The following is a 22,526-nucleotide window of genomic DNA, read 5'->3' on the forward strand; positions in this document are numbered from 1 at the left end:
ATATTAAGAAGTGAAATAATAAATGATAAATTTTTTTAAAAAGTGAAATAAGTTTGAGACCAGTCTGGGCAACACAGTGAGAGCCCACCTCTTAAAAAAAAAAAAAAAAAAATTAGCCGGCCAGGCACAGTGGCTCACGCCTGTAATCCTAGCACTTTCAGAGGCCAAGGCAAGTGGATTACTTGAGGTCAGGGGTTCGAGACCAGCCAGGCCAACATGGTGAAACCCCATCTCTACTAAAAATACAAAAAAATTAGCCAGGCATGGTGCCGGGTGCCCGTAATCCCAGCTACTTGGGAGGCTGAGGTAGGAGAACTGCTTGAATCCAGGAGGTGGAGGTTGCAGTGAGCCGAGATTGCGCCACTGCACTCCAGCCTGGGCAACAGAGTGAGACTCCATTTCGAAAAAAAAATATTAGCCAAGCGTAGTGGTGCACACCTGTGATCCCAGCTACTTGGGAGGCTGAGGTGGGAGGATCACTCGAGCCCAGGAGTTTGAGGTTACGGTGAGCTATGATCACCCCACTGCACTCCAGCCTGGATGACAGAGTGAGATCTCATCTCAAAAAAAATAAAAATAAAAGTGAAACAAAAACAGCTGAGTTAGTTTAATGCAGCATTTCCACAATTTTGGTTAGAACAATGTGTGAAGTACAAAATATGAACTGCATGATTTCAGTGATAACAAGCTAAATGCTCTCATATTTGCATTTTAAACTGCATTGCGGCCAGGCACAGCGGCTCATGCCTGTAATCCCAGCACTTTGGGCGGCTGAGGCGGGCAGATCACGAGGTCAGGAGTTCGAGACCAGCCTGGCCAATATGGTGAAACCCCGTCTCTACTAAAAATGCAAAAATTAGCTGAGCATGGTGGTGTGCACCTGTAGTCCCAGCTACTAGGGAGGCTGAGACAGAAGAATTGCTTGAATCTGGGAGGCGGAGGTTGCAGTGAGCCAAGATCGTGCCACTGCACTCCAGCCTGGGCGACAGAGTGAGACTCCGTCTTAATAAATAAACAAACAAACAAACTGCATTGCACAATATAAAGGCAAACAATAAAATTCATACTAATAATTACATTTTTTTTTTTACTTAGAGTGACTTTAAGTAACAAATAAAACACACCATGACAAGTCAGGAGAGAGACGATGGAAGAAAGGAAAACTTTATATTTTAATTTTTTTATTTTTGTTTATTTTTTGAGACAGAGTCTTGCTCTGTTGCCCAGGCTGGAGTGCAGTAACACGATTTTGGCTCACTGCAACCTCCATCTTCCAGGTTCAAGTGGTTCTCCTGTTTCAGCCTCCAGACCAGCTGGGATTACAGGTGCGTGTCACCACGCCTGGCTAATTTTTGTATTTTTAGTAGAAATGGGGTTTCACCATATTGGCCAGGCTGGTCTCAAACTCCTGACCTCAGGTGATCCTCCCACCTTGGCCTTCCAAAGTGTTGGGATTACAGGTGTGAGCCACCACGTCTGGCCTATATTTTAATTATTTAATGATACTTTTCCTGTTTTTTGAACAAGGGACCCCACATTTTCATTCTGCACTTGGTCCAGCAAATTAAACAGCTGGCTTTAGTTATAGTATCAGATAAAATTATTAAATTATGACCAATCCATTGCCTCTTTTGAACCAAACCTCAAATCACGATGTAAAAGACTAGATAATTCAATAACAAAGCAAACAAAAACTCCTGCTTGGAATTCTGGCTTTGGTGAAATCAACGAATTAACACAACCTCCTTCCACCACACGCAACAATCCAGGGATCATAGAAAATCAAAGGTAATCCGCACAAAATGTAGGAAAGAGGTTTTTAACACCCAGTCAGTCCTAGCAGTTCTCCCAGTGTCTAAGTCTACACCTAAAGGGTTTCCTGGGAGGGAAAAACTGCAGATAGTGCAAGTGGCACAATTGATACATTTTTTAGTGCAAATCTCTGTATGACACAAGCAGCCCCAGACTCTGGCAATGACTTACTGCTTATGTGCACCTGTCATCTTTGGCACCTGAGAGACGAGAGATAACTTCTAATGTTTGATGGAAATTTTAAGGTTTGAAAAATAAAGCACTTTCCTATACAGTCTTATTTTATTCCTACCATAGCCAAGTGAGGAACTCAGGAAAAGTATTTTTCAATAAAATTTTTATTGTTAGTATTCCAGTGATAAAAAGTAATGCTGCTTTTATGTGATTGATCTGGGTAGTAGCTACATGGGTATTCACTTTATACTCATTCATTAAACTGTATATATGTGTTTTGTGTACTTTTGTGTATGATATAGTCTGCAAAAAAAAAGAACAAAAGGTATAAATGTTCATTGTAGGAAATCAGAAAAGGAGGTTTAAAATCTCCCATAATCCCATCAGAGGAAACTACTATTAATTTGACACCTTCCTTTCTTAGTTTTTATAAAATTGGAATTATCAGCCAGGTGCCATGGCTCACACCTGTAATCCCAGTACTGTAGGAGGCCAAGGCGGGTGGATCACTTGAGGCCAGGAGTTTGAGACTAGCCTGGCCAACATGGTGAAACCCCATCTCTACTAAAAAATACAAAAATTAGCTGGGCGTGGTGGCCGGCGCCTGTAATCTCAGCTACTTGGGAGGCTGAGGCACAAGAATAGCTTGAACCCTGGAAGTGGAAGTTGCAGTGAGCTGAGACTGTGCCATTGCACTCCAGGCGGGGAGACAGAGTGAGACTCTTTCAAAAAAAAGAAAAAATTGGAATCACATTTTCCACATTTTGTATCTTTTTCTTAAACTCAGCATATCATGTTTTCATACGGCATTAAAAATTCAACACTGCTTAATAAAGATAAACCTAGTTTTTTTAACCAATTCCCAACTGTTCGATGTTTAGGTTGTTTCTAAATTTATTTCCGAAAGGACCAGAGGGCCTTTATTTCTATTTCACAGAAAGTAACATCGTGTGGAGGCATGCCCTTGCTGCTGGTGTGCGGCAGAGCCAGGAGGAGACATGCCTCCCTGCACTTGGAGGCCTCATTCCCCTCCACACGCTGCTTTGCACTTCCTCTGATCACACGGGTTTAACTTGACAGATTAAAGGGAAAAACTGTGAAAGACAATCTACCCCTGACCCTTTCCCATGAACTCTCTGCAATCCTAAATAGAGGAATGGTCGACCAAGTTCAAGGTTAAGATCAGGAAGCACAAGCTTCTCTGGTACCTGGCCTGCAGATGAAGGGGTACCAGTGCTGTCCGTGTGAGGTATACTGCTGGGCCCAAATAGTTACTTGGGAGGCCAGGGAAAGAGAATAAACTTTTCAAAAGTACAGAGTTGCAGGGTTCGAGGTTAGTAGAGAGGTTTTATAAATATTTACTGAACAAAACTCTGCCTGTTAACTGGCTGACACAGAGCAAGGTGTGGTTTTCCTTCCCACCCCCAGAGGTGGCTGGGAAAGTTGGTCTGACAAACCAGTGGGAAATGCTGCCCAGCCAAGATGGAACCAAGAGACGGCAAGAATGCCTAAGATGATTCAGGAAATGAGTCCAACCGTCTTCTGTCTGTCCTCTTCCCTCAGCCCCCACAACTCCCACTTCTATTCACTGAAGCAGGAAACCATAGAGAAGACACTCACAAACAAAACACTGGCTGCTGCAATGAGCGCCTGCAGTAGCTGGCCAAACAAACAGCTCTGGTCACAGTGCACAGCATAGCTGCTGCCCAACAGGTTGAAATATCACTCGCACCATTTCGTATTGTGAATGCCACTGGGTGGCAATAAAAATAATGAGCTGTGGGAAGGTTGTACATAAGAAAAAAAAAAAAAGTCCTAACCTTCCTCTGGTTTGGTGGGTGGTCTGAAAGTTTTCTTCTTGGCAAGGTCATGTCCACTTTTTCACACTCCTTGCTAACTGAAGTAGCCAAGAACCTAGGTTTGGGAAGACAACCTTTCTTCAGATAAAACCACAAGTAAACCAGACCAGACTTAAGAGAATCTACCTTATTATAAGGACCCCAGAGATAGTAATTCCAAAAGCTACTGAAAAGAAACAAAAATGTTTAGTTACTGTTTACTGGAAAATCTCCCCAACACATATATACAAATTCAATTCTAATCCCTGATTTTAAAAATAAGCCTGTTATACAGTCTGCCTGGCTTGACAAATTTGACTTGGGGGCACCTTGAGTGGGCGGAGGGCAATCAAAGTGATAGGAAGTGATGTCCCAGCGCCACTAAAGCCAAGACACCACCTAACTGCTCACAGCGACCATGGACATAAAAGCAGCTGGTTCCAAACAGCAGCATTCTCAAGGGCAGGGGCTCCCAGTGGCAGGGCAATTCACGTGAGCAACTCCATGTTCTCCCAGTAAAAGCAGGGACGGATCTACTTAACGATTATTTTCCTATGAGCAAAACCGTGGAGGCCACCATCCTAATTCAGAAGGACTGGCCTTTCTATCACTGGAACACGGGTCCAAACTGAATGTCTCTCGCTTCTGGATCAAAAAAGCCAGCTCTCACTAACAGGTAGGAGACACCATTTAACTTATAAGCTTTGTGTACCTTTATGAGGAAGATTATATATGAGGGCGGAGCAAAAGTGGGGACAAAGCCAACAGGAAACATATATCATATTATGCAACCAAGATACCTATTTATAACTTTTATTAAACTTCCATTTAAATGGTAGATTCTTGAGCTAGGGATTCCTGTAGAAGTTATCGGAGCTATTATATAGCAAAAGAGAAAATGCTCTTATGTTTGGAAGCAGGACCAGAAAAAGATCTCTTTGCTGCTTTAAGCAAAGTTGTAAAAGTAGGTCTGTAAAGATCTAGGTATGCAAATGTGACCCTGCTAAATTTTGAGTGTGGGCTCTTTTTCATTCCTGGCCTGCCTTCTTCTGGAAGTGTGATTGGACAAGAGGCAAAATCAAAAACAAAGGCAAAAACCAGGCAAAACAGAAAAATAAGCCAGAGACCTAGAAAACTCCAAAACGAACAATTTCCAAGTCACTAGGAGCTGAGGATAATTATCCATCTACATATCAATGGAATTACTATGTTTTAACTTTCTAGGATCTTTGTTCTTCCTAAATTATCCACTTTCAGCTTCTAACTTAACAATTTATAAATAGCTACCGTTTTACTGCTATGAAGAAATTTAGATTTTTAAGATGTTAACATATTTTAAAGCTCTGAAAACTGGTAACGCTACGATTTATCACTTTTTCTCACTATCCTTATGTTATGGTACTGTCACCAACCCTGGACTTTAAAGTCTTTGGTATTTAGGGTCTAGATGGTCTGTTATTACGGGTTTTAAAAAATATAGACTGGGTGCAGTGGCTCACACCTGTAATCCCAACACTTTGGGAGGCCAAGAGGGGTGGATCACCTGAGGTCAGAACTTCGAGACAAGCCTGACCAACATGGTAAAACCCCATCTCTACTAAAAATATAAAAATTAGCCAAGCATGGTGGCACCTGCCTGTAATCCCAGCTACTTGAGAGGCCGAGGCACAAGAATCACTTGAACCTGGGAGGTGGAGGTTGCAGTGAGCTAAGATCACACCATTGCACGCCAGCCTGGGCGACAGAGCAAGAGTCCGTCTCAAAAATAAATAAATAAATAAAATAGTCCATATATATTGTTCATATATATATGAACAATGACTATTTGGTTTCTTTAGTAGACTGAGAATGTCCCAAACATGGTGATCAAAGGTGCCTTCCTATCACGATTTTATATTTTATTTTATTTTATTCTACTCTACTCTACTCCAATTTTATTTTATTTTATTTTATTTTGAGACGGAGTCTCGCTCTGTTGCCCCGGCTGGAGTGCAGTGGTGCAATCTCGGCTCACTGCAACCTCCACCTCCCAGGTTCAAGCGATTCTCCTGCCTCAGCCTCCCGAGTAGCTGCGACTACAGGCGCCTGCCACCATGCCCAGCTACTTTTTTGTATTTTTAGTAGAGACAGGGTTTCACTGTGTTAGCCAGGATGGTCTCAATCTCCTGACCTTGTGATCCATTTCACCGTGTTAGCCAGGATGGTCTCGATCTCCTGACCTTGTGATCCACCCGCCTCAGCCTCCCAAAGTGCTGGGATTACAGGCGTGAGCCACCATGCCCGGCCACCTATCACTTTTTAAAGGGCTCCCATTTAGACTACCTTCACAGGAGCAAAGAGGTAGAGGAAGGAACTGGGGGGTTACATAATGGATACACTACTAGGTATGCGATATACTGCCTGCCTGTACTCAGTGTGTCAGTGAACAAGTACTACTGTGTCTTAATATCAGAAGTAGCAACTGGAAAATAGAAAAATATGCCACAAAGCCTGCTGCTATTCCTATTGTGGGAAGTCAAACAGCAACCTTTTCAAACTTCAATTTTCTTTCCCTCCAGTAATAGGTTACATAGAAGTTCTCCTCCAAGTTTTAGAATGTACTTCTAAAAATTCCCAACCAGCAAATTGTAGACCAGCAGTAGAAACTGCTAAGGCATAATATATAACAATCATTATAGACTGAATTCTTCGACTCTTGATTTAGAATATACCAACTGCCATCTCACCCTACCCAAACAGCCTGCACGGTGGCAACCCTGTCCCAGAAAATCTGGCTGTCCCCACAGCATTCAAAAGTCACCCTGGTAAGTCTCATTTTGCAAAATCTGTTCCCCAAGTTCCTGACACAAAGAACTCCAATGCCATTGATAACCTCAGAAATTCTACAAGGTCCCCTTATCAGCCATTAAAATTGTTTTAAAGTAAAAATCATTTTACTTAAATTTAGTAATCTAAGAACTTCTTGGCTGGACGCAGTGGCTCATGCCTGTAATTCCACCACTTTGGGAGGCCGAGGCAGGCTGATCACTTGAGGTCAGGAGTTCAAGACCAGCCTGGCCAAGATGGTGAAATCCCATCTCTACTAAAAATACAAAAATTAGCTGGGCATGCTGGCACATGCCTGTAATCCCAGCTACTTGGGAGGCTGAGGCAGGAGAATTGCTTGAACCTGGGAGGCAGAGGTTGCAGTGAGCCGAGATCACGCCATTGCATTCCAGCCTAGGTGAAAAAGCGAGACTCCGTCTAAAAGAAAAAAGAAAAAAAAGAAAAAAAAATTCTCTCTTTTCTGGCTTGATTTTACTGAGAACAGTAATTTAACCTACACATATACATGTCAAGGCTCTGTTGTAAAGGATAATTGTCTACTAGTTTATTTATCAGGCTCCTGGCCTTAAAGATAAATGTCTAGAGGCAGAAAAAAACTGAGAAGTTGGGGTCATCACTTGAAGATTCAACTCACTTAGAGGAATTAAAATACACAATCAATTGTTGATTAGACAGTAACAATTATAATGAATGCTAAAGTCCAAGTTCAAACAAGCAATTAAAGTTGATACAAGAAGTATAAACAATTCATGAATGAGCTAATTGCTCTTCTGAGTAGGAACTGGCCTCTAGTCCTCACACTGTGTCAGTCTATCCCCAAATCTATCCCTGAATCTCTCTGGTAACTCCCATGACATTTCCTCCCAGGTGCAGCAGCACTAATATAAGCTTCTCTTTTCTGGACATAACTTCTTCCGCTGGGTAATTTTGAGAAAAAACTTGTTTTACTACCCAGTGTAAAAAGTTAAATAGGACCTGCAATCAGACTTGGAATTAGCCAGGATATGATCTCTCATTGAAAGGCACTATTTCAATTAACAAAGTTGCAGTGTGTTAAAAAACGTCCTTGACACCAAGCCAAGAGCATGAATTAGGTTGGCCCAGAAAGAAATGAGCCTGTGCCTGAGAAAAATCAGGCAAACACACATCTTTAACAAAAATTAAAAGTACACCAAAAATACAATGATATCTGGGCATTTATCACCCACGCGGACTTACTGCAAGAATAGAAGCTCTTTGTAGGTAAGGACTATCTCCTAGCTCAGTTGTTTTGAACTTTAGCACACTTAAGAAGTCCCTGGAAGACTTGTTAACAAGCAAGTTGCAGGAACCACTTCCAGTATTTCTGGGTGAATCTGGGGTGGGGCCTTAGAATTTGCATTTCTAACAAGGTCCCCATTGACAGTGAGAGGACCACACTGAGAATCACTGTCCTGGCTTATCTATTATGTAGTGTGAACAAAGGTCAGAGAATGCTTACCTTTCTGTGGGGAACATCCCCTCCAAGGCACTGGAAAGCCGCATTGTGAAAGGATCCTTCAGGAAATGCCCCATTTTGCCTTGACACTGGGAATTTATTATCTGTTGATCTTTAATCTATAAATTATAAACCTCTCTAGACATTGACACCTTCCAAAGAAAGGAGAGAAACTCCCCTAGCCTAGGAACCATCTCGCCTGGAATAACACTTGTCCCATCCCCTAGAGGTACAAATTCTAGAGTAAGACACACCTGAGTATCTAAAGCTCTCAGCCAGAATTCATAGAAAACTCAGTAAACATCAAGGCTATCATGCCTGGTCCTTGCTAAGGACTTCTACAGTTCTCTACGTAGATCACTTGTAATCCAGGAACTCTTCCTCCACAAACTCCTACCTATCCAAGATTTCTCAACAAGATGTCAAGACAAGACAGAAAGGCTTCTCTTGGGAAAAGATTACGTGCAATCCTCTGGGATTTCTTTGTCTTCCTGTATCCCTGTCTCTGCTCCAATCCAGACCCCCCTCATATACTGTCATAGCCCCTTCACCTGTGTACTTTTACTCAAGTTCAAAAATGTCTTTCAGAACCAGGATAGGTGCCAGCCATCATAAATCAGCCAAAGATAAGCAAACCGTCACACCACTTGAACACGTGTTTCCTCTGAAATTTATGTCCACTCACATTCTCTTCTTTTAAAACAATTGCTTCCTGGCTGGGCGTGGTGGCTCACACCTGTAATCCCAGCACTCTGGGAGGCCAATGTGGGCAGATCACCTGAGGTTAGGAGTTTGAGAACAGCCTGGCCAACATAGTGAAACCTCGTCTCTATTAAAAATATATTAGCTGGGCGTGATGGGGTGTGCCTGTACTCCCAGCTACTAGGGAGGCCAAGGCACAAGAACCACTTGAACCCAGGAGGCAGAGGTTGCAGTGAGTGGAGACTGCGCCACTGCCTCCGGCCAAAAAATTGCTTCAAGTAACATTATAAAATCATACATATAGAAATTAGAAAATTAAGATATTAGTGATTCTATCACCCAATGATAACCACTGTTAATAATCTAATGAAGGGGTCGGGTGTGGTGGCTCATGCCTGTAATCCCAGCACTTTGGGAGGCCGAGGCAGGCAGATCACCTGAGGTCGGGAGTTCGAGACCAGCCTGACCAACATGGTAAAACCCCATCTCTACTAAAAACATAAAAATTAGCCAGGCATGGTGGCGCACGCCTGTAATTCCAGGTACTCAGGAGGCTGAGGCAGGAGAATTGCTACTAGAATTCTCCTGCTGAGGCAGGAGAATTGCTACTAGTATTCTCCTGCTGAGGCAGGAGAATTGCTTGAGGCAGGAGACGGAGGTTGTGGTAAGCCAAGATCACGCCATCGCACTCCAGCCTGAGCAACAAGAGGGAAACTCCATCTCAAAAAAAAGAAAAGAAAGAAACATAATCTGATGAAGAGGACAGGCACAGTGGTTCACACCTGTAATCCCAGCACTTTGGGAGGCCGAGACGGGCGGATCACGAGGTCAAGAGATTGAGACCATCCTGGCCAACATGGTAAAACCTCGTCTCTACTACAAATACAAAAATTAGCTGGGCGTGGTGGTGGGCGCCTGTAGTCCCAGCTACTCAAGAGGCTGAGGCAGGAGAATGGCAGGAACCCGCAAGGCAGAGTTTGCAGTGAGCCGAGATCGTGCCACTGCACTCCAGCCTGGGCAACGAGGGAGACTCTGTCTCAAAAAATAATAATAATAATAACAATAATAATCTGATGAATGCTATTAGTTGTGTAGGTATTTATGAAAATGGGACCATACTGTTTATTACTCTTCTGCAATCTTCTTCACTTAGTATATTGTACAAGTCTTTATATATTCTTCTACAACATTAATTTTAGTGGCTACAAAGGGTTTCATGGCATAGGTGGACAATAATTTCCTTAACTCCTTGGAGTCTTTCCTCTCTCGCACATGTTATGTCTACTTAGGGTCCAGCACAATGACACATCCATTTACAACCCCTACACTCCATCACTAGGCCATGTGCAGGAACAGGCCATTGCAGGAGTAGAATCATTGGATGATAAAGCTAGAGGAATTATTACCTAATAAATTTGTGAACAGACTTTCTTAATCAGAGAAAAAAACATTTAAATTACTTAAAAAGCATTTCTCTTCATTTCTTCACACTGTAATATTAGGTAGCAGGTGGTCCATAAAGCCATTCTCTTTTATACTCCAATACAGCTGAAACATTTCCCCCTAATTTTGTTTTAATGGGAAATTTAATTGTCAATGAAATTAAATACAACCTGAGTACACTTTACACACATTCCCCAGGGCCTAAAGGTAGTAAGAGCATAATTTTAAACTTTTTTTTTTTGGAGACAGTGTCTCTCTCTGTCACCCAGGCTGGAGTGCAGTGGCATGATCTTGGCTCACTGCAACCTCCACCTCCCGGGTTCAAGCGATTCTCCTGTCTCAGCCCTCAGCCTCCTGAGTAGCTGGTATTACATGTGTGTGCCACCACACCCAGCTAATTTTTGTATTTTGGGTAGAGACAGGGTTTCACCATGTTGGCCAGGCTGGTCTCGAACTCCTAACCTCAAGTGATCCTCCCACCTCAGCCTCCCAAAGTTCTGGGATTACAGGCATGAGCCACCATGCCAAGCCCAATTTTAAACTTTTAAAAAAATAAGTAAGAGGGAGAAGTAAGACATACAAATTATTTACTATGTTTTCATTCACAACAGAGAGAATGCAGGGGGCTGAGGGTGGTAGTAGGGGAGACAAATCTAAGCCTTACAAGATACATTTTAATTAGTTAATATTGTTAAAGAATCAAAGACCTTGTGTGAGATCAAGTTCAAATCTTTCCATTTTACGCTGTGCTTCTCAAAGGATTCTCATAAAACCAACTACTGTGAGTGTCAGAATTACCTTTCCAATACCAAGCATTCACCTCTAGAAACACATACAATTGTGGCCTCCACTGCTTTCTCTGGTGTTAGAGGTGATATAACTCCTGGGAACTGTACTTGCGGAACGGGGTGCTCTCTGCCTGTAAGGAAACCTTCTGCCCCCTCTACTCAGCCCCTCCAAGTCTGTGTCTTCTGCTTCTCGTTTCTCACCTCAAAGCATGTGGTCTTTCATCTTGGGAGAACCAACGTTACAGGGAAAGATGCAGAAAAGATGATATATGACATACAGGGAAAAAATCAACTCATATATCCCTGTGAAATATTATTTATCACTTCCCAAAACAAGTCATACCTGGGGTGGCCGAGTCTGCCTCTGTGTCACACGAAGATAAGGCAACTGCGCAATCCAAAGAGACCAGCAGGCCACAGCCATCACTTCCTGCGGCTAAGTAGACATTTCCTCTTGATGTCCCAGTATCTCAAATTTAAAATCTCTTCAAACCCACCTCCCCCTTCTGATTTCCATTTACATTTAATAAAACAATAGCAGCATCCTTCTCCCAAGATCTGCATTTCAGGATCTGATATGGCTTGGATGTGTGTCCCCTCCAAAGCTCATGTTGAAATGTGATTCCCAATGTTGGAGGTGGGGCCTGGTGGGAGGTATTGGATCATGGGGGTGGATCCCTCACAAATTGCTTGGCACCATCCCCTTGGTGATAAGTGAGTTCTCACTCAGTTAGTGCATGCAAGATCTGGTTGTTTAAAAGAGTCTGATGCCAGGTGCAGTGGCTCACACCTGTAATCCCAGCACTTTGGGAGGCTGAGACAGATGGATCACTTGAGCTCAGGAGTTCGAGACCACCCTGGGCAACATGTTGAAACCCCATCTCTACAAAAAAAAAAATACAAACATTAGCTGGGTGTTGTGGTGTGTAGCTGTAGTCCCAGCTACTTGGGAGGCTGAGGCAGGAGAATTGCTTGAGCCCAGGAGGCAAAGGTTGCAGTGAGCTGAGATTGTGCCATTGCACTCTAGCCTGGGTGACAGAGCAAGACCCTGTCTCAAAAAATAAATAAAATAAGAATACGGGACCTCCCCCATCTCTCTCTTGCTCCCATTCTTGCCATGTGACATGCCTGCTTCCCCTCACCTTCTGCCATGACTAGAAGCTTCCACAGGCCTCAACAGAAGCCAAGCAGAAGCAAGCACCACGATTTCTGTACAGACTGCAAAACTGTGAGCCAATTAAACTTCGTTTCTTTATAAATTACCCAGTCTCCGGTATGCCTTTATAGCAATGCAAAAACAGACTAACACAGAAAATTAGTACTGAAGAGTGGGGCACTGCTATAAAGATAAAGAAAGACGTGGAAGCGGCTGTGGATCTGGGTAATGGGCAGAGGATGGAAGAGTTTGGAGGCTCAGAAGAAGACATTAAGATGAGGGAGAGTTTGGAACTTCTTAAAGACTGGTTAAATGGTTGTGACTAAAATGCTGATAGAGATATGGACAGTGAAGTCCAGGCTGATGAGGTCTCAGGTGGAAATGAGGAAGTTAATGGGAACTGGAGTAAAAGTCACCTGCATTACATCTTAGCAAAGAACTGAGCTGCACTGTGTTCATGTCCTAGGGATACGTGGAAGTTTGAATTTAAGAGTGATGACACTTAGGGTATCTGGTGGAAGAAATTTCTAAGCGGCAAAGCAATCAAGATGTGGCCTGGCTGCTTCTAACAAACTACAATCAGAATTGGGAACAAAGAAATGACTTAAAGTGGAACTTATATTTAAAAGGGAAGCACAGTATAAAAGTTTGGAAAATTTGCAGCCAGGCCCTATGGTAGAGAAAGAATCCAAGTAGGTTGTGGAGCAGCCACTTGTTACAGAGATTAGCATGACTAAAAGGGAGCCAAGTGCTAACATCCAAGACAATGGGGGAAAAAAGCCTCAAAGCCATTTCAGAAATCTTCCAGGTTACCCCTCCCACCACAGGCCCAGAGGCCTAAGGAGGAAAGAACGGTTTAGTGGGCCAGGCCTGGGGCACCAATGCCCTGCACCACCTCAGGAGGCTGCAACCCCCATCTCCACTGCTCCAGCTCCAGCCACGGTTCACAGGGCCCCAGGTACAGCTCGGGCTGCTTTGGAGAGTGCAAGATACCATAAACCTTGGTAGCTTCCACATGGTGTTAAGCTTACAGGCACAGAGAGTGCAAGAATGAATGAGGCTTGGCACCCCCTGCGTAGATTTCAGAGGATGTACAGGAAAGCTTGTATAGGAGCCCCCACATAGAGTCCCCACCAGGGTACTGCCTAGTGGAGCTGTGGGAAGAGGGCCACTGCCCTCCAGACCTAAAAATGGTAGAGCCACTGGCAGCTTACACCCTCAGCAAGAAAAAGCTACAGGTACTCAGCTCCAACCTAAGAGAGCAGCCATGTGGGCTGTGCTCAGGGAAGCCACGAGGGCAGGGCTGCCCAAGGCCTTGGGAGTCCACCTTTCAAATCAAGATGTGGGACATGGAGTTAAGGATTACATTGGAGCTGTAAGATTTAATGCCTGCTCTACTGGGTTTCAGACTTGCATGGGGCCTATTACCCTTTCCTTTAGGGCAATTTCTCCCTTTTGGAATGGGAATGTTTACCCAATGTCTGTACCACCATTGTACCTTGGAAGTAAATAACTTGTTTTTTATTTTACAGGTTCAGAGGCAGAAGGAAATCGGCTGTGAGTCTCAGATGAGATTTCGGACTTTGAGTTGATGCTAGAACAAGCGTTTTGGAGACTATTGGGAAGGGATGATTGTATTTTGCAATGTGAGAAGGACATGAGATTGGAGGGGCCAGAGACAGAATGACATGGTTTGGATGATGGCCCCTCCAAATCTCATGTTGAAATGTGATCCTCATTGCTGGAAATGGAACCTGGTAGGAAGTACTAGATCATGGAGGTGGATCCTTCATGAATGGCTTAGTGCCATACCCTTACTGAAGAGTGAGTTCTCATATGGTTTATGCAAGATCTGGTTGTTTAAGGGAGTCTGGGACCTCCCCCTTCTCACTCTTGCTCATGCTCTTGCCATATGACACGCCTGCTCTCCCTTCACCTTCTGCCATCATTGGAAGCTTCCTGAAGCCTCACCAGAAGCCAGGCAGATGCTAGCACCACACTTCCTGTATGGCCTGCAGAACCGTGAGCCAATTAAACCTCATTTCCTTATAAATTACCCAGTCTCGGGTGTTCTTTTATAGCAATACAAAAACAGAGTAACACAGGATCACTGAATGATCTTTGATTATTCCTCTTACCTTTGCCAGGCTTCAATATCCAGTCACTAACTCAACAAATCATGTTTCTTCTCTCTGCACAATATTTCTCCCATCTGCCTCTTTTTTTTTGGCTTCCTCAACCAATATCCTAGTTCAGGCTCTTATTACCCAACACCTAAACATATCTATAAGCTCTTAACTGGCCTCCCATACACATCAATCCATTCCATCTATGGCCACGTGTTTTGATAATCTTTCTCTGCTGATCAGAAACTCAGGAGGTGGCCGGGCGTGGTGGCTCATGCCTGTAATCCGACACTTTAGAAGGCTGAGGTGGGAAGATTGCTTGAGTCCAGGAGTTTGAGACCAGTTTGGGAAACACAGCAAAACTCCATCTCTACAAAATTAAAACAAAAATTAGCCAGGCATGGTGGTGAGCATCTGTAGTCTTAGCTAGTCTAGAGACTGAGGTGGGAAGGTGAGCCCAGGAGTTTGAAGTTTACTAATCTATGATCACACCACTGAACTCCAGTCTAGGCAACAGAGTGAGATCCTGTCTCTAAATAAATAAATAAAAGAAACTCAGGAGACTACAGAATAAAATCTTAATGTGTTCTTCCAACACTCACGATACTCCATGGTTCTAGCCGTATCTCTATCCTAGCAAAAGTGGTCTTTTCTACTCCTGGGACACATTATGCACACTTGTGTTTCCAAATTACCCTTGAAACCTTTTCCTGCACTTTGAATCACCTTCCAACTCTTCTCCTCTTCCTTGAATTCTATTTATACCTGAGTGTTCAGCTCAAATCCAACCTCTTCTACAAAGCCATCAGAAAAGCTACTAAGCACTTGCCTCTGCATTCTCATTCATTCAAAAAGTATTTACCTACTAACTTCCTATGATGTGCAAGGCACCAAGTTAGTTGCTGAGTAGAAAATGGTGAAAAAAACTCCACACAAACAGGGTTGTTGTTTTTATATTTTCCTTTCTCCATGAGTCATATCTGTACCAATTAAGTATAGCCCTTGGAGAGACTATATCTCATACTTTTTTTTTTTTTTTTTTTTTTTGAGACAGAGTTTTGCTCTGTCACCCAGCCTGGAGTGCAGTGGCACGATCATGGCTCACTGCAGCCCTGACTTCCCGGGTTCAGGTGATTTTTCCCACTTTATCCTCCCAAGTAGCTGGACTACAGGTGTGTGCCACCACTTCTGGCTAATTTTTGTATTTTTTGTAGAGATGGGGTTTCGCCATGTTGCCCAGGCTGGTCTCAAACTCCTAGCCTTAAATGATCCACCCATGGTCTCTCGAAGTGCCGAGATTACAGATATAAGCCACTGTACCTAGCCTATAGCTCATGTATTTTTAAAAAATCTTTCAAAGCTCCACTCCTAGTATAGTGCCAGGCACATAGCAAATGCTCAGTAAATGATTGCTGATTGATTTCTGATTGGTGGTTACAGATCCAGTCTATCCACACACATACCTCTGACCTGCCCGTGACAACAGCTATTTATATAGCCAAGTCAACTGGCTCATATCTGAAGAGACTAACCTTTATTAACACTATGCTCCAAAATCAACTGGGCCAACTGGCCACCTGACCAAGAACAATAATTGTCTTTTTCATAGAGAATGTGCCAGTTTGCCTTAGGCACTGAGAGCACTTTGTGAAACTCTGATCACAACAGGACAAGGTGTACTTCTGAATGGCAACAGGAGATGATATAGGCAGTCTCTGCCTTCATACGTTCATGCAACAAAACATGGGTACTGTCAAAGAGTCCCACTCAATTAATGCCTTAGAGACTTATAACCATCTCATCTCATATAGCCTTAGGAGGTATGCAAAATGCCTGTCAAGCATCCAAAGTGTATATCAATTAAGCAAATATTTACCAAACACCAAGAAGAGACAACACCCAAGAGAAAGCACAGGCTTCGGAACTAAGAAAACCTGGGTCTGACTGCTGGATTTAGCACTAGTTATGTGGAGAGACGTCTGATCTTGCTCAGCTTTGGTTTCCTTCTCTGTAAAACAAGGACAGGACCACCTACCTCACAGGGTTTGCTTTGAGGATTAAATGAGATAATGCATGTAAAGTACATGGCACGGAGTAGATGTTCAGTAAGTGGTAAGCTGTTGCTATTGCTGAAGGAGAAGGTAAACAGGCAGTAGTGATATCTGTAATGTTGGGCACTGTGTTAGCACTGCTGCATATCCAGCAAGACAATCTCAAGGCAGACCTTTCGGGAGAGAGAAAAATAAGAGAGGGAGACATAAAACTATCTTATGCCTTAGAACACGTATCTATCACTAAAGGCTAGGTAATGTGGAAACTCAGATGTTTCACTGACATCATAAGCAACATTATCCCAAAGCATTTAAATACAATACTCATCTCCAACCACCCTCGTGTCATGGTCACTTGTTGCTTTCAGCAATTCAAACTGCTTGGGGTGATAGAGCTCCACGGTAGGAGATTTAACTGCAGTCCTTTACCTTGAGATAAACAGCTTGTAAACTCCTAGAAGGCCACTACTGCTTTTAAAACCAATGTTTGTTCTTTAGGTAAGGTAATGCTGAGAATCCAAAACCAGTGTAAGAATTCAGCTCCCATGCAGGCCACTGTGAGGGGGACACACCTAGTAGACACACAAATGTTTGCTGAACACAAGAATGAGTTTCAGTTACAATGGAACTCTGTATCCAATGTAATATAACACCTGGGATACCAATGCAATACATGTTACTATGAATAAGAGTGCCAGTCTTCACAATCAGAGAAGGAAATGGAGCAAATACAAATGCCCAGTTTCCATCTCTCCTGAGAACAAAGAGAAACGGAAAAAAAGTATTGAACCAGAAGCTGGCATTCACTCTCAAACATGTACTACTGTCTGCTCTACCCATTTCTGTCCAGTCTTAAAGGTGTATGTGCATAGATTAGTTGAATGTGTTTCAAGTTCATAAAGGAAGTCAAGGAAAAATGCCATTCTTTAGCACCTTGCTAAAATATATAGCCTCTGTAAGATGACACTAAATGTAAGTATTCAGCACTCACATCTTACTGAAGAGAAAGGAGAATCAGGAGAAAATGAACTGTAAAGGGCGAAACTACGCTTAAGAGGTAAGAGTCCAGCATTCTCTGCCTTTCTGTTAAGAGTGGCAACCATCCCTTCCACAGCCCCATGCAGCAGTATCTGAGAAGCACACGGAAGGCTGAAAAAGCTGTGGATGACCTTACTAGAATTTCATGCTTACTTATACATGTGACTTAGAGCCAGCACCCAGGCTTCCAATCTCTCAGAAGTCGCCCATAAATCAGCCAATGAGACAAGTGCTGCAAATAGCATAATTTCTCATGAGCAAGGACTCTGGCTATGTTGCTAGATCTTTCTGTAGTTAACAGCGAAAGATAATATCCATTTTAACATTTTATTATGAAGATTTTGAACTTACACAAAAGTAGACAGATGTGATGAACCCGGCTTTAACAGTTACCAACATATGACAAATTTTGTTTCATCTATACCATACCCACTGGATTATTTTAAACTGAAACCCAGGTATCATAGTATTTTATTTATAAATACTTCAGTATATAAAAGATAAGGATTTTTTTAAAAATCACAATACCATTACCAAACATTAACAATGAAAAGCCATTTCCTTATACTAGCAAATATGTCCTTACAATGTTCAAATGTCCCCAATTGTCTTATAATCCCATCCTCTTTTTACAGTTAGCCAATAACTGAATGTTCACAATGGAAAGAAACTTAGGGACTGCACATTTCAGTTTCTACCCACTATGACCCAAACTCCCTCACAGCAGTGCCTCGGTTATGACACGTCCCCTGAGAAGTGTGCATTTTGTGGAAGACAAGAATATTAGACTCATCAGTTTTTTTTTCCCTTCAGTATGTTACTCTCTTTTGTAATTGCATACTTAAGATTTTTTAACAGCTTTATTGAGATGTAATTCACATCACAAAACTCACCCATTTAAAGTGTACAGTTCAATGATTTCTAGCATATTCACAAAGCTGTGCAGTGATCCCCACTATTTAACTTCTGAACATTTCTATTAACCCAAAAAGAAACTCTGTACCCATGAGCAGTCTCTCCCTCACCAGCCTCGCCCCTTCCCGGCCCCTGGCAACCACCAGCTGGCTTTCTGCCTCTGTGGATTTTGCCTTTCCGGACATTCTTACTCCACTCTCACACTGTGTAAACTTGTTTGGGGGTCTGTCCTCCAACCCCCAGGTAAGGCAGTAACTTTCCTGGGAGATACGAGGAATATCTGGCCGGCATTCATGGAGTAAGATTCCCTAGCAGGCTCTCCTGGCTCCTCCCTAATCTGGGAGCAGAGGATCAGCTGTTTCTTTTTGCTATGGCTGTTAGAGAGTTCAGGCTTAAACTTGCTGCCCAACTTTAATAACTGTGTAGCATATTATCACATACATTTCTCTCACCAAATTTCCCTCTGTCCTCACTTTAGTATTCAACCTTAATTTTCCTTTTGTTTTGTTCATTTGCATTTTTCTTATATTTTCTTATACTTCAAATATTTTGTACTTAAATACTTTTTTTTGAGGGGGGGAACCAGTAAAGAATGAATGCATAACATTTATCTTCAGACATTCTGGTACTATCTTATCATGTCTTAAAGCCCAGGAAAATATCATTTGATTATGATTATTTCTGATGATGGACACCTAGGCTGATATTCCCAAAAACATGGTGTTAGGCTCCAACGAAAGGATACAGAAGAAAAAGAAATGCCTCAAAGACGACTTGGGTGAGGATGTGTGAAATTTACTCCTGTACACACAAAAAAAGAGGTGTATGTGTGGGGCAGGATCAGTGAAGGAAATGTTAGTGATTCAGCTTTAGTTTAGAGAACTAAACGTAACAGACTTGATGGTCAGGGGAAATAAACAAAAGGAAGAAAACAGACATGGAAGGTATCACTCCGGGGCCCTGGGCTGATGCCTCCATTAATATTACTGCATTCACTGTGAAGTGTACGTGTCAGCATCAGAGAACAAGAACTACGGCTTCACTGCCAGGAGTGTGAAGAACCATCCCCATCCCAAGTGCTATTTAAGACATTTTACTGGGGGTACTGGTTGCTTTACTCTTGCCAAAAGAAAAATATCCTGTAAGGAGAAACATTAAAACCCAAGCTTTCTCCAGGAAAGACCTCACAGGCAGAGGATATTAATTCCTCCCCTGATAGAGTTCAACAAAACTCTTCCTGCACCCCGGAATGCAATGATTAATCAACTAATCTGGACCCAAGCTTTGTTTATATGTTCCAACCCTAAACATTAATTGAAATATTTCCATTGCAACAAAAACACTTTGGTTAGGATTTAAACACCACTGCATAACAACATGCAAGTGTGCTTCAGAACGTGAAAGCACAATTTAGCAAAATAACAGTCCCTGCATTCGATCCAAGGGGGCACGGAGTGAAAAACGTGTTATTCTAGGGTCCGTGGTTACTTGACAGCTAGACCAAGGGACACGAATTTCCTTTCCCATGTGATAAACTGCTGTAGATATTCTACCATGCTTTGTACTATTAGAAAAGCTTGCATAAAATTTTTTGCTTGTTAGTATTTGTTTTGTTAGTGTTGGGTGGTGTGGGTGTTAGGTTTTAGCATGTGAAAAAGAGACCCAAGGCCAGATGCGGTGGCTCACGCCTGTAATCCCAGCACTTTGGGAGGCCGATATGGGCAGATCACCTGAGGTCAAGAGTTCGAGAGCAGCCTGGCCAACATGGTGAAACCCTGTCTCTACTAAAAGAAAAATACAAAAATTAGCCAGGCACGGTGGCTCACACCTGTAATCCTAGCACTTCCGGAGGCCAAGACAAGTGGATCACCTGAGGTCAGGAGTTCGAGACCAGCCTGGCCAACATGGTGAAACCCAGGCTTTACTTAAAAAAAAAAAAAAAAAAAAGCCGGGTGTGGTGGCAGGCGCCTGTAGTCCCAACTACTCAGGAGGCTGAGGCAGGAGAATCGCTTGAACCTAGGAGGTGGAGGTTGCAGTGAGACAAGATCATGCCACTGCACTCCAGCCTGGGTGACAGAGGGAAGCTCGGTCTCAAAAAAAAAAAAAAAGAAAAGAAAAAGAAAAAGAGACACAAATTTGGGAAATACCATGTTTGAGAGACAGTGTGTTTTGATAGTATTTGAATACAGGTCAAATCCCTTGAAGAAGCTTAGATATAATAATAGAGGTGAATGCAATAATAGAGCTTATACTGGCTGCAGTCTACTTCAGTTACTGCTCTAGGAAGAAGCAGCCTTCAAGAGGGGAGAAAAGTCTGGGCAATTGAAGAGGCACAGATGAGTTTCTTAATAATAGCAAATGGATGAATTTTATCCAAGTGCTTTAAAGTACATTTAACACAGAACAATCTGCAGCAGCTATTCTCACCCCCACCAAAACCTCCCTTCCTCAAGATGAACCAATCTCCTGGTTTTTTCAACAATATGAGAAGAGCAAAATACTTACTTTTTATTTGTTAAGAAGGTTTATCTGCCTAGAATGTGATTCTCAAGCCTGGATACAGGGGATCCCAAAACAGGGATTCATTAGAATCACCTGTATAGATGTTTTTTTGTTTTGTTTTGTTTTTAACAACAAAAAATAAAGCAGCTAAGCCCACCCAGAGATTCTAATTTAACTGGTCTGGGATTGGATCCAGGCACTGGTATTTTTTTTAAAAAAACTTCCCAGTGATTCCAACATAAACCTGGGTTGAGAATCAATGGTCTGTACAAACACCTCCTCTTTCTACACCAAGTCCTATCTGTGGGGTTTCTGTTTTTGTTTTTTCCATTTTAAAACAAGCTTTTTCTCTCTTCAAGGCTGAATCTCCTCCATGTACTGTACCAAAATTACCCTACCTTAGTAGGTCCCTGGTCATGTAATTGTTCCTGACACTCCAAGGTTAAAGCATTTGTATTTCTCCTGCGACTTAAGCATTTATGGATATACTCAGCATTATATTCATAATGTAACCAGCATGTTTATGTTTGTTACTATGGTTTGTGCTTAAGTTACAAGCTTGTCTTATCTCCCTTGTTTGATTCAGCAGATGATTTTGGAATGCATATTATGTGAATGTCACTGTGCTCAAGGCCTGTGGAGGCTACAAAAATGTAAAGCCATTCTTGTAGCTGTCAAGGAACTTAAAATCCAGAATGGAGATAAGACAGAAATAAATAACACCACCATATAGAATATAAAATCTGTAACAGACAGCCAAGGTATACTAGACTACTCTCAGCTGCAGAACAAAGACATATATCAAAATGCTAACAGTGGTTATCTCCAGGAAGTGGGATTAAGAATGTTCTTTGTTTTTGCGTGTTTTTTTTAAGTCTTTTACAGGATGTATGTTATGGGAAACAGTCTCTAAAGAAGGAGAAATCTGTTTGAAGGATGGAAAGTTGACGGGTGGAGAAGGGGCATGAGCAAAGGCAAAGCACCAAATGTATTTGGTGACAGTGGGTAACTCCGTTCTGCTGCTGTTTCTTGGAGTGAGGGCAGAGAGAGAAGAGGGTGAGGTCAGAAGGATTGTAGCAGTATTGCCAAAACCTTGAATGTCATAGAGAGGATTTTTAATTGGCAAATGGGAGCCACTAAAGGTTTTTAAATGGTACTTTTCCTTATTATAAAAATAACACTTTTCTTAAAAAATACTATTATATGTCTATTATATAAGTAATTGGAAAGGAGTAAAATCCATAAAGTAAATAAAAATTATCACCAGAAAGCTCATCACTCAGAAAAAAAAAATTGCTAATATTTTGGCACATTTCCTTTCAGTCTTTTCTGTCTGCAGTCATGAAAGATTTTTTAAGCAGGAATGTGACCTCATCAGGGCTATGCTTTAGGAGGCTGGGTTATGAGATGTCCGAAGCACAAAGTGGCTTCCTCACACACATTCTCTACTTCTTCTGCTTATGTTTTTGCTGCAGATCCACAAATAGGTCCCAAGGGGCAAGCAGAACCTGAGGGGAAAGCCCAAGGCTGAAGCCTAGGGAGAAGCATTCCTAATATTCAGTGAAACAGACAAGAAGCCCTTGATGGAGGTGAAGAGACCAATCTGCAGAGCAGCAACAGGTTATCAGGAAGGGGAGTCTTGTCTTGAGAAGGGAGGTTGTTTCACAGGACCGCAGAG

At 42.4% G+C, this 22,526-nt stretch overlaps 1 protein-coding gene and 1 long non-coding RNA gene across 32 annotated transcripts in view, besides 4 other annotated features; one reads left to right on the forward strand and one right to left on the reverse strand.

Moving 5' to 3' along the window:
* Positions 1–22,526, reverse strand: part of IGF2BP2 (insulin like growth factor 2 mRNA binding protein 2) — a 181,913-nt gene that overhangs the window by 98,964 nt on the left and 60,423 nt on the right. The gene's annotated exons all lie outside the window — the stretch shown is intronic.
* Positions 1,183–14,272, forward strand: LOC124906313 (uncharacterized). Its single transcript, XR_007096204.1, has 2 exons — positions 1,183–4,500; positions 13,749–14,272. It is a non-coding gene; the product is annotated as an uncharacterized LOC124906313 (long non-coding RNA).
* Positions 7,848–8,142: a silencer, noted in NCBI's record as "tiled region #9603; K562 Repressive non-DNase unmatched - State 15:Elon". NCBI's record gives its function as "represses a minimal TATA promoter and a strong SV40 promoter by Sharpr-MPRA in K562 cells {active_cell/tissue: K562}" and the evidence as "EXISTENCE:reporter gene assay evidence [ECO:0000049][PMID:27701403]".
* Positions 12,448–12,742: a silencer, noted in NCBI's record as "tiled region #5696; HepG2 Repressive non-DNase unmatched - State 19:H4K20, and K562 Repressive DNase matched - State 14:Gen5'". NCBI's record gives its function as "represses a minimal TATA promoter and a strong SV40 promoter by Sharpr-MPRA in HepG2 and K562 cells {active_cell/tissue: HepG2 | K562}" and the evidence as "EXISTENCE:reporter gene assay evidence [ECO:0000049][PMID:27701403]".
* Positions 12,448–13,199: a biological region, named in NCBI's record as "Sharpr-MPRA regulatory region 5696".
* Positions 12,496–13,199: an enhancer, noted in NCBI's record as "OCT4-NANOG hESC enhancer chr3:185472377-185473080 (GRCh37/hg19 assembly coordinates)". NCBI's record gives its function as "activates a minimal SCP1, AML or CMV promoter by ChIP-STARR-seq in primed H9 embryonic stem cells {active_cell/tissue: H9 hESC(primed)}" and the evidence as "EXISTENCE:reporter gene assay evidence [ECO:0000049][PMID:30033119]".

The sequence above is a fragment of the Homo sapiens genome, chromosome 3 (assembly GCF_000001405.40).
Source record: "Homo sapiens chromosome 3, GRCh38.p14 Primary Assembly".
Taxonomy (NCBI): Eukaryota; Metazoa; Chordata; class Mammalia; order Primates; family Hominidae; genus Homo; species Homo sapiens.